Below are 12,500 nucleotides of genomic sequence, written 5' to 3' on the forward strand. Positions count from 1 at the left end.
TACAGGCTTTGCCTTCTCAACATCGCATTTTAACTAGGAGTTTTGCAGCAACCGACTGATGCACTGGGACAAGAGGAGCAGGTACTTCCAACTTCAAATCCTGTATAATCCGTTCCCTGATGATTGAATAGCATGGCTGCTGAGAGATCATCTTATTTCACTTAATGGCAGAGAGTAAAATTGTAAACAGGACCAGGAGTTATCAAAAAAAGCTTTCTTAGATTTCATTTCAGTTGGAACTCAGCCCCCTCCCCAGCAATGGCTGGCACCAACCTTGTTACTAAAGTACTGAAGTATTGATCTCAGTGCTTAAGGCTCCCTAGGTCAATGAGATGGAAATTCACTAAGAATTTAATGCTATTGGCAAAGCCCAAGCTGGTCTTTCAAAGCAGCTGGCTGCACTTGTTTTCCATTTCAGGCAGGTCTGATTAGCAGGACTCTCTCCAGGCATGGTTTGTCTTTGTGGCCTTCAGCCTCCACTTCTTGCACATTGTTTCTCCTTCTGTTCTCCACTTTCTCTCCTTCTCTCTAAAGCATCTTTCAGTAGATCAAAGAAGACCAATTCAGTGCCTCTGAAATCACACCAGGTAAGCCAGTGCCTGACATGTACATCTCTGTGGTGTAAGGAGAGCTTCCAGAGGCAACACAACATTCTTACCCTTTTTAGTCCATTTTCCTGGGCTTTCAGCACTCAATTGCCAAAAAGTAGTTGATCTTCTCCAGAAATAGGCTACCCAAGGAGGTTGCTTCTGCCTGAGCTGAAAAGAGTCAGTAATCTGAGAATGGTGCTGGAAGCAGGAAATAGCAGAGCCAGAGGTTAATGCTACAGCTGAGATTGAGTTTTCATTATTTTGAATACCAGACTGCTTATTGTCTCAGAATCTGGGCAAGGACTTGACCTACCAGAGAGAATGACCTAACGTTACATAGATGTATCGTTGTCTCATTGTCATAGAAATAAATGAGTAACAAGGTGAGTAGAGTGAGAGAGAGAGAGAGAGAGAGAGAGTATGTGTGTGTGTGTGTGTGTGTGTGTGTGTGTGTATGTGTGTGTGTATCAAACTGTAAGCAGAGTATCACTGAAGAATCTTTTAGATTTGCAGTTTAGGTAAAATATGCCCCTTGAAGCAATCACAAACCTTAGACCATACCACCTCATTCTGCTCTCTGTTTCCCACTGTTCATCACTGTCAGCCTTCTGACATACCCTGAACTTAATCTGTCCTATGTTTTATTCTCTTGGGCACGGAGATATCAGATTAACTCACTAATTTAATAAGCGAATTCCTGCTATTATGCTAATAGTAAAGAGATGGAAAACCTATTTGAGGCAACTTGTGCATTTAAAATAAGACATTTGAGAGAAGTAGTCATCGGCCTTTGTTAGGCAACCTTTTAGTGACTCTCATAGTAGAAATTTAAGGCTGATAGAGTAGACAGTCGGAGCTACCAGCCTTGTGGTGCAGTCCAGTTACTGCTTAATATTTCTATATCGCTTTAGGCTCGCCCTGAATAAATCTCCACTCTGTTCTGTTTCTATTCCTCATTTTCTCAATTTTCATGATATCTAACTTTCCCTTCCATAGGAACGGCTCTCAGATTAATATTTGTGTGTGTGTGTGTGTGTGTGTGTGTGTGTAAGATTTTGCCAGAGATTAAAAGACTACTGCGTTATTATGTGTGTATTTTTGTGGGGTTTGTTTTTATTTTTTTAATACAGTATCTCACTCTGTCACTCAGGCTGGAGTGCAGTGGCACAGTCACGGCTCACTGAAGTCTCAACCTCCTGGGCTCTGGCAATCCTCCTACCTTAGCTTCCTGTGTAACTGTGACCACAGGCACATGCCACCATGCCTAATTTTTTTTGTTTGTAGAGAAAGAGTCTTACTGTGTTCCTGGTCTCAAACTCAGGTTCAAGCCATCCACCCACCTTGTCCTCCCAAAGTGCTGGGATTACAGGGATGAGCTACTGCACCAGCATTTTTTTTTTTTTTTCGAGACAGAGTGTCCTGTCACCCAGGCTAGAGTGCAGTGATGCGATTTCACATCACTGCAACCTCTGCCTCCTGAGTTCAAGCAATTCTCCTGCCTCAGCCTCCCAAGTAGCTGGGATATTACAGGTACCTGCTACCTTGCCCGGCTAACTTTTTTGTATTTTTAGTAGAGACGGAGTTTCACCAATTTGGCCAGGCTGGTCTCGTACTCCTGACCTCAGGTGGTCTGCCCACCTCAGCCTCCCAAAGTGCTAGGATTACAGGCATAAGCCACCGTGCCCAGCCTAGCCAGCCTTATTTTTAAATGTTTGAATAAGATACAAGAAGCTTGTTGTGAACTTCATGTAATGAGTGTTGAGTTGATACAACCTAATGAGATTGTGATGTGGGAGCCTAAGGTTGTGATGTGGGAGCCTAATTTGGTTTGACCTGATTTCCTCAAATTAAAGACAGCAAATCCTGTGATGAATGGAAAGGGAAAAGGCGACACAAATCCTACCTATACCATGGGATAGTTGAGTACTTACTTGATTCTTTATGACCAGAATTGATTGCTTATAATAAGTGGTTTGTCGAGGTTTTTCCTAATTTATTTGACCATATTAGTAAGTGAATTACACGTTGGAGACCTGATGCTCCAAAATCCATTGCCACAAAGCAGGGTGTCAGAGAACAAGCAGTTTGTCTAAGGAAAAAGAGAGGGTGTCCTCCCCAAAGTGAAAAATAACTGTGCCAGAGGTCTGTATAACAGGGCTTCTTATAGAATAGATGGGGTTGAAATGACTACAAAATAAATGGTGAGTTGAAGTTTGTGTTGATTTTGTTTTTTAAATCTAAATATGAGCCTCCAGGCAAGATGACAATTAACCTTACCCTCACTGAAGCACAAACTTGAGGTCACTGCTCCTGATAGCCATTGCAGGCTCCCAGAGCAGACCCTTAAACTGGAGGATGGGTTCTGCTTTCTCAAAGCATTAGGAGAGAATTCAGCAAAATGATGAAGCATGGGAAGGAAAAAGGGCCTCTTAGAACTAAATCAACCCTTAGGAGGCTTGGAAGAGTTAAAGCAGAGAAAAGAGAATGTACCAGACATCTTTTATTCACACTTTCAATTTTTTTTTAATTTTTAATTTTTGTGGGTACATGGTATATACATACATACATATATATATATATGGTTACATGAGATATTTTGATATAGGCATGCAGTGTGTAATAATCACATCAGGGTAAAATATCCATCACCTCAAGCAGTTATCCTTTGTGTTTCACACAATCCAATTATACTCTTTTAGTTATTTTTAAATGTTTGATTAAATTATTTTTTACTCTAGTCACCTTGTTGTGCCAGCAAATTCTAGGTCTTATTTATTCTTTCTATGTTTTGTACCCATTAGCCATGCCCCCCCTTTCCACCAACCCCTCCCCAGTCCTGACTACCCTTCCTAGCTGGTAACCTTCCCCTACTCTCTATCTCCATGAGTTCAATTATTTTAATTTTTAGCTCTGACAGATAAGTGAGAACACGCAATGTCTGTCTTTCAGTGCCTGGCTTATTTCACTTAACGTAATGACCTCCAGTTCCATCCATGTTGTTGTAAATGACAGGGCCTCATTCTTTTTTATGGCTGAATAATACTCCGTTGTGTATATGCACCACATTTTGTTTATCCATTTGTCTGTTGGTGGACACTTAAGTTACTTCCAAATCTTGGCTGTTGTGAGTAGTGCTGTAACAAACATGAAACTGCAGATATCTCTTCAATATACTGATTTCCTTTCTTTTGGGTATATACATAGGACTGGGATTGCTGGATCGTATGGTAGTGTCACAGGATCTTTGGGGTGTTGCTTTGCCAGCCAGAAACCTCTGTGGCTGACAGAGCCTTCTGCCTGAGTATTGCTCACACCCTTTGGGATCGTTCTGCCTACTCAGCTCAGCAGGCTGCACTCAGCTCGTGCTACTGGCCCAGATCCCACACCTCCCAAGGGTGAGCCAGGCACAGAACAGTGAGCAGTGTGTGGACAAGAGAGCATGGGGTCCAGCCACTGCACAACCAGGCACGCTGGCTGCTGCAGCAGGGCAGGCAACTCCAGGCACCAGCACAGGTGCCAGCTGCATGTGAGGCTGCGGTTGTACCAAACATATTGCACGCAGCTTCCACTGCAGGCAACCACGTCTGGACAAGGGGAATGCGGTGGCACCTGGAAGCTTGGAGACACCAGGAACTGCTGAGCCCAAAGAGGGTGTCACAGCCATAGCTCAGGGAGTCCCTAGGTCTGGGCTCCTCAAAGAACTGCAGCTCTTCTCTCCTTCTCATCGTCCACAATGTGGCGAGCAGTGGGGCATGTTTCAGCTCTTTCAGTCCCGCCATTCAGCAGGTCCTGAGGTCTTGTCCTGCATCCAGGAAGAATGATGTTCATGGACAACTGGAGAGTGAGCAATGCAGAGAGGAGCTTCATTGAGCAACAGAACAGCTCTCAAGAGATCCAAAGTGGGAAGCTCCTTTCCACAAGCAGGTCATCCCTGCAAGTGTCCAGTTCTCACCAGAGAGGAGACCTGGATTGAGTAGCTCCTATGCACAGGCAGGTTGTCCCGACAAGTGTACAACCCTCAGCAGAGAGGAGACCTGGAATGGGTAGCTTCTATCTACAGGCAGTTTGTCCCATCAAGTGTGCAGCCCTCAGCAGAGAGGAGACCTGGAGTGGATAGCTCCTATGTACAGGCAGGATGTCCCAACAAGTGTGCAACCCTCAGCAGAGAGGAGACCTGGAATGGGTAGCTCCTATCTACAGGCAGGTTGTCCCATCGAGTGTTCAGCTCTCAGGGGAGAGGAGACATGGAGTGGGTAGCTCCTATCTGCAGGCAGGTTGTCTCATCTCTGTGAGTTTGGCTGAGTCCAGGGTTTTTATGGGCTTCAGAAGGGAGGACATGCATGCTAATTGGTTCATGGGCAGGCCTGGAAAAAGCACCATAAGTTCTCACTCAGGGCCATGGACTCCACCCAGAACTGACAGCCCAGCCCCCATGCTTCAGGCCGTTTCTGGCCTGAAGGTGGGGCTTCACTGGGGACCCACTCCTTTCCACCCAGGAGCCTGTCTGCCTCCTGCCACCATCAATCATGTCATCCATGGCACCCAGGCTGTTCATGCCGAGAGGCACCTGCAGGCCGAGAGGCACCTGCAGGCCTGCACCAAGCCACCCTCAGCCTACCCTCAGCCTCCCTCCCATGCTCGTCAGCACCCAAAGTCCAGAGGGGACTGAGGCAGCATGGGGCTGGCGTGTCAACACTGCCCTGAACAGACATACACCTGGCCGGGTCACAACAGTGCCCAGCTTCAGCCTCAGCTTTGCTCCGAAATCAGAGTGGGCACTGGGAACAGGGAGAGGCCAAGTAGAGCTGGCACTTCTGAGCCTGTGGGGGTATGGGGATCTTCCCGGGCCCCCAAGAGCACATGGATGCCCAGGTCTGCAGCCATGGCTGGGCAGGGCTCCCACCCTGACAACTCAGGAGGGGGCAGGGCTCCCGTCTGTTTACAGCTCACCCTAGACTCTATTTATAGTTTTTTTTAGGAACCTCCAAACTGTTCTCCATATTGATTGCACTAATTTACATTCCCACCAACAGCATACAAGTGTTCCCTTTTCTCCACATCCTTCTCAGCATTTGTTAATTGCCTGTCTTTTGGATAAAAGCCATTTTAACTGGGATGAGATGATATCTCGTGGTAGTTTTCATTTGAATTTCTGTGATGATCAGTGATCATATACCTGTTTGCCATTTGTGTGTCTTCTTTTGAGAAATGTCTATTCAGATCTTTTGCCCATTTTTAAATCATATTATTAGATTTTTTCCTATAGAGTTGTTTGAGCTCTTTATATATTCTGGTTATTAATCCCTTGTCAAATGGGTAGTTTGCAAGTATTTTCTTCCATTCTATGGGTTGTCTCTTCACTTTGTTGTTTCCTTCCTTTGCTGTGCAGAAGCTTTGTAACTTGCTGAGGTCCCATTTGTCCATTTTTGCTTTGCTTGTCTGTGCTTTTGGGGTATTGCTCCAGAAGTCTCTATCCAGACCAATGTCTTGAAAAGTTTCCCTAATATTTTCTTTTAATAGTTTCATAGTTTCCGGTTTTAGATTTAAGTTTGCAATCCATTTTGATTTGATTTTTGTATATGGTGAGAGATAGGGATCTAGTTTCATTCTTCTGCCTATGGATATCCAGTTTTCCCAGCACCATTTATTGAAGAGACTGTCCTTTCCCCAAAGTATGTTCTTGGAACCTTTTTTAAAAATGAGTTCACTGTAGATGTATGAATTTATTTCTAGGCTCTCTATTCTGTTCCACTGGTCTACATGTCTGTTTTTATACCAGTACCATGCCGTTTGGGTCTATAGTATAATTTGAAGTCAGGCAATATGATTCCTCCAGTTTTGTTCTTGCTTAGGATAGCTTTGGCTATTCTGGGTCTTTCACTAACACTTGACTATTAGTAGATGAGCTTACCTCCCTGGGACCATTAGTGCTTCATCTCTTTTCAGAGTCTAGACATTCTTCACTTCTAATTCTTCTCTATCTTCCACTGAGTGGTAATCAGTCTTCTGATGTCATAGTTTAGTTGTGTGATTTCCAAGAAGATATTTCATTGACCTGTAATATTATTGGGGATTTATCTAATTTGCCAATGAATATTTTTTCCTATTATCCACTTTCTAACCCCCTATTGGCATCAAGAGTAAATCTGAGACTCATATCTGAAGTAATGACCCAATGTCATGGTTTTGTGATATGACAAACGGGAGGAATTACATGAACTCTAATATATATTTTGAAATATGTTCAATTTGCCAACACATTGAATGTCTTTTAGCTTTACAAGTTTGTTTTGTCTCAGCATAAATCATAGGATCGACATCTATTAGTCAAATAGGCAAACTGTTCCCATCTTTCACCCTGTCAGACCATTAGAAGATGGGCCACAGCAACATTTTTTTTTTCGTTTTCCAAATCCAAAATGAAATTTGGAAAAAGCTGCTAATTAGAATTCTTCTCCAAACCCAGTTAAAACTGAGAACTACTTATTCTGTCATAAAAACTTATGAGAGATTTCCTAAGTCTATATACATACAGAGATATAGTTCTGCTTGTGATAAGTTGGAAAGAGTGCATCGTTTTATGAGTTGGCAAGAATATACTTGATCTTAGCCAAAAGGCCCAGAAGTGATGACTTGGCAAGAATAAATGCTTAGCGTTTACTTATTCATGAAGCATTTACAGGCCAGGCAAGGTGGCTTATGCCTGTAATCCCAGGGCTTTGGAAAGCCAAGGTGGGAGAATCACTTGAGGCCAGGAGTTCAAGGTTACAGTGAGGTATGTCATGCCACTGCACTCTAGCCTGGGTGACAGAGTGAGACCCTGACTCTTAAAAAAAAAAAAAATTACAGAACAGCCAACTAATGAAAACACAGAGGAGACTTACATCTATATTGTTTGTAAAAGGTAATAACTGCTTTATGTGTTTAAAAATACATATAGAGCTTTTTTAAGGTGGATATGTTCGGTATAGTGAATACTGGTTACAGCAACTTAATCTAAAATGAGGTGGAAGTAGGGCAGGCGATTAAGGGAAATTTCTTGTACTGAAAGTAGCACAGGAATTAGAGGCTAATTATTCTATTAATGAGTCTCCGAAGCAATACTGGCTGGATCAAAAGATAAGAACCCCACAAGTTTTCCTAGGTTGTCAAACCAAGATTAATGGCACAGCAGTCAGGAGGAGCTATTGCCAGTGTAGTGCAACATGACAGCATATTCTCTTTTTTGCAAGTAAAGCAATTCACTCGGCCATCTCTAGAGACTTTCAAAAGCGGGTAGATCTCCACATTTTCAACACTAATAGCGTTCCATCCTGTCAACCATAAGAAGCCACAGCTGTGAGACATGAATTTACTGTAGCCGTCCACATATCCAGTTGGTTCTACCACCCAAATTTTACTTGCAAGTATCTGTTTGTTTCCATCTCTCATGATCATAATGACCACATCCTGGGATCTCACATGGATTACTTTCACCTCTTGGTCTCCCTTCTTGCCCTCTTCGAGTCCATTCTCCACCAGCAGCCAGAGCAATCTTATAAAAACACAAATCAGACCATGTAACCTCTTCCTGAAAATCCTCCAGTGGCTTTCTATGATTAGAGTAAAATCAAAGCCAGATTGTTCAAAGCCCTGTATTTATAGATATAGCTTCTGCCTCCCTCCCTGAATTAAGTTCATTCTTTCTCCCTCTTATTCACAATTTTCTGCCAGTTTTTAGAACTTGCACTTTCCCACCTCTGGGCCTTTGCACTTAACAGTTCCCTCCATCTGGAGCTCACTTTCCCAGGCATCTCATCACATAGAAAGATCTCTCACTCCTCCTTCAGATCTCAGCTTAAATGCCACCTCCTCAGAAAGACTTCTGCTTGTCACGTTATCTAAGTAAGTGCCTCCTGGTTTATCTCTTAATCATAACATCCTTTTTACCTCCTTTCTAACACTTATCACAATTTATTATTAATTGTAGGTGAATACTCGTTTTTGTCCACTTTTCTGTCTAAAATGAGCTCGATGAGGACAAGAACCTTCTCTGTATTGCTCACTGTGTCTTCCTAATGATTAGTAGAGTGCCTGGAACACAGTAAGCGCACGGTAAATTTTTTTTTGATGACGAACTAATGAGCCAACAAAGGAATGATAAGTGGTACTAATTTTAAGCTAGCAACTTCAAATATTTGAGAAACTCTTCCCACAACTCAACAGATAGTATCTTTTGTTCACTTTGTTACCTCCTGCCATGCCTCGGGAGTTAAGTGAAGACATGCATTTCAGCAAGTATTCAGTGAATATTTATTAAGTAATATATTTAAGGCTCTGTCTTAAGCACTGCTGGGAATACAAATACAAGTAAGATCTGTCTACCAAGACTTACAGGTTAGTGTTTTTAACAGACACATTTATAACTAGCTATAATTCAAGGCAGAGTGCTGTGCTAGAGGTATAAACAAAGAGCTGAGGGGCATGGAGGAGGAAGAGAGAAGTGATCAATTTTCCTATGACTACCGTTGGTGTTTCAAACTGACATTTCAGTGGAGTCATAGCTCTTCTGCCTCATGAAGCCCTGCCAGCTACCTAAAGACTTCTTGTTGGAACAGAGAAAAGATGACCATTTTCCTAGAGCTCGAGATGCATTAACAGAACAGAAAGGCAGTAGGAAGATGTGAGGCAAAGTGGGAGAAAGCAGCAAATTCCTATTCAGATTCTATATTTACAAGAAAATAATGCTTTTCCACTCATTTCTATAAAGGTACCTTTTGGTCATACTTACAGTTTACTTTCACAAGGGTCATACATTTCCATATTGACTATAAAACAGCACAAGGGAACCAGAAATATATTTTGAATTCAGCTTCCATGAGAAAGCCATGAAAAAATATGCCGAAGCAGTTACTGACTGTTAAGTGAAAAATGGAAGAAATAATTTTCGCCAAGAAGCATGAGTATCATTTGCTGAGAATGGATAGCCACAAGCAGACTATAAGACAGCAACAACTAAAGTTTAACTGTTGGCAGAATTTTTAAGAAGAGAAGTGGAAAAGATCAGGATTGTTAACCTATTCTTAATACTTGAGTCATATGCACACTCATTTCACAGTCTTAACAGCGACAGCAGAAATATCTGCAAATTCAAAGTCAAATTGAGTACTGAATTGGAAAGTGAATCTGGAAGTCCTTGCATTGCTCTTCCTTGTACCCACTTGCTTGGTTTTATTCATTCATGAAACACAAAACACTTAGTGAGCTTCTTCTCCTCTACACCAAGGACTGTGCTAACCACTAGAGAAACTTAGGTGGCTTAAGACACCCCTGACACTAAAGCCATTATACTCTAAAGCAAGCTTGTCCAACCCACGGCCCATGGGCCACATGTGTCCCCGGGAGGCTTTGAATGTGGCCCAACATAAATTCGTACACTTTCTCAAAACATGATGAGATTTTTTTGCAATTTTTTTAGCTCATCTGGTATCTGTAGTGTTAGTATATTTTATGTGTGGCTCAAAACAATTCTTCTTCTTCCAGTGTGGCCCCAGGAAGCCAAAAGATTGGATACCCCTGCTCTAAAGGAAAGTCAGACACAGCAACCAACAATAGTGCCATAGTACAAAGTATTATAGGAACCTAGACAAAGAGGAAATACTTTTCAGAAGAGGTAACATTAAAGTTCAGCCTGGAAGTATGGGTTGAATTCTGTTAAGCAGCAAGGGAATGCAGGAGCACTGTAGGCAGAAAGGAAAAGGTAATGGCAGTAACAGAAACAAGGAGGAGTGAGAACATATGAAATGCCTTTGGGGAACTGTGAGCAGCTATGATGAGAGAATAAGATGCGTGATCAGGAAGAGAGGATGATAGGAGGTGTCACTGGGAAAACCTTAAATGCCATATTTAAGACTTTATAATTCTGTAGATAACAGGGAGCCTCTGTAGCCTTTTGAGAAGGAAGAAACAAAGATCTGATAACTCTGGTGATGTGAAAGATAGCTCTGACAAGTGATGTATGGAAGATGAGTCGAAATGAAGGGAAGAGACTGCAAGTTGGGCTACTTATTAAGAGGTTTATAGCAACAGTCTAGGTGAGGAATGGTAAGACCTATAACAGGAGAATAGAGAGCAGAGTGTATGTGGGAGAGATATTTTGGTGATACTGAAAAGCACTTGGTCTTTTTTTATATGGTATGTGAAAGGTCAGGACAGAGGGATCAAAAGTGACGAGATTTATCTTGAATGATGGATAATAGTGATGGTACTAACCAACATAGAACTTTCTGAATGGAGGAGGGGCTCTAACATGAGCAAAGGCAGGAGGAAGAACAGGCTTATGGGGAGAAAGTGAGTCCTATTTTGGACATGTTCATAATGAATTGCCTCTGAGGAAAGATGCACAGAATATATTTAGGAATGTGCCTTTAGAAAATAGACAGAGAGAATGCTCAAGGCATGCAGCTATAACTTTGTGCATTACCAGCAAATAACTGACAGTAGAAGCCATAGTACTAAACGAGATCACCCAAGAATATAAAGTAGAAAGTTTAGAAGCATGAAACAGAATAGTTATATTTAAATGCTAAAAGAAGATGATGAGCCAAATAGTAATTTAGAGAGGAATTAGAGAAACAAAAGGAAGTAAGGTCATGGAAGTCAAAGGAGAAGGCAGTTTCAAGGAGGGGATGCTCACCAGCACCTTGTACTGCAATAAGGCAAAGGGTAAGAGGCCATATATGGCTTTTGCTAGAATACTTTGCATAGAATGATTGGTAGCAGAAGTCCAATTCCCATAAGTTAAAAACTACATGTGAAATGAAAAAGTAGAGACCACTACCATAGACTCAACTTCCCAAAATTTTAGCAATGAAGGAAGGGAAAAGTTTGACCATGTTGGTTGACACTGGAAAACGGGAAGATAAAAAGTAAGAGACTAAACATAGAAGAGAGGCAAAGGATGATGAGTTCTAGAAACCTGGCTATCAAAAGGGCAACTTAAAGTCCTTTTTGAACAAACCTTTTTGAACTTTTGGAAACCCATATCTTTTTAGTTGCCACACTCGTGTTCCTAGTAGGGCTCAGGAGCTACAGAACATTAAGAACCTGGCCAGAAGACACCTTTGTCCAACTGGCAGAAAGGGAGATGGAGGCACGGGGATCCTTGCTAGAAGGACTAAATTCCCCATGTCCTAAACAATGATTATCTGATGGTATCATCTGAATTTCTCAGAGGAATTAATCTTACTGAAAATACCACTTTATCAGGTCATCCTACAAGTTACTTTTTTGCAAACACAAAGACCCCTGGTAACACAAGAGAAACATCCATTTAAAGGAACTTCCCTCTTTCACCTTTCGCTCTTTATGGTGGGCTCTGGTAGGGAATCTATCGATGATACCATAGTTTGAATACTTTCAGCTAGCTGTGAGTTTGAAAAATTACTTCATGTTGGCTAGGAATGAGTGGTTTGGAATAGACAGGCTTTTATACTGGAAGGCTGCTGGGGATAGAAAGTGACTCATTACTGTCACGGGACACAAGGACTCCTCTTCCTTTTTTCTTCTCATGGAGTGTGCTTTGACAATCTTGTGGAAAGGAATAATAATTTCAGCTTTTTTTTTTTTTTTTTTGAGACGGGGTCTCACTCTGTTGCCCATGCCAGAGTGCAGTGGCATGATCTCAGCTCATGGCAGCCCCTGCCTCCCAGGTTCAAGTGGTTCTCCTGCCTCAGCTTCCTGAGTAGCTGGGATTATAGGCATGTACCACCATGCCAGGCTAATTTTTGTGAGTAGCTGGGATTACAGGCATGCCCCACCATGCCGGGCTAATTTTTGTATTTTTAGTAGAGACGGGGTTTTATCATGGTAGCCAGGCTGGTCTCGAACTTCTGGCCTCAAGTGATCTGCTCGCCTCAGCCTCCCAAAGTG

At 42.3% G+C, this 12,500-nt stretch overlaps 1 protein-coding gene across 21 annotated transcripts in view, besides 2 other annotated features; it reads left to right on the plus strand.

Annotated features, from left to right (window-relative positions):
- The window catches only part of TANC2 (tetratricopeptide repeat, ankyrin repeat and coiled-coil containing 2), a 461,469-nt gene that overhangs the window by 391,134 nt on the left and 57,835 nt on the right, over window positions 1–12,500 (plus strand). The gene's annotated exons all lie outside the window — the stretch shown is intronic.
- Window positions 3,575–4,075: an enhancer, noted in NCBI's record as "H3K4me1 hESC enhancer chr17:61438304-61438804 (GRCh37/hg19 assembly coordinates)". NCBI's record gives its function as "activates a minimal SCP1, AML or CMV promoter by ChIP-STARR-seq in naive H9 embryonic stem cells {active_cell/tissue: H9 hESC(naive)}" and the evidence as "EXISTENCE:reporter gene assay evidence [ECO:0000049][PMID:30033119]".
- Window positions 4,076–4,576: an enhancer, noted in NCBI's record as "H3K4me1 hESC enhancer chr17:61438805-61439305 (GRCh37/hg19 assembly coordinates)". NCBI's record gives its function as "activates a minimal SCP1, AML or CMV promoter by ChIP-STARR-seq in naive H9 embryonic stem cells {active_cell/tissue: H9 hESC(naive)}" and the evidence as "EXISTENCE:reporter gene assay evidence [ECO:0000049][PMID:30033119]".

The sequence above is a fragment of the Homo sapiens genome, chromosome 17 (assembly GCF_000001405.40).
Source record: "Homo sapiens chromosome 17, GRCh38.p14 Primary Assembly".
NCBI lineage: Eukaryota > Metazoa > Chordata > Mammalia > Primates > Hominidae > Homo > Homo sapiens.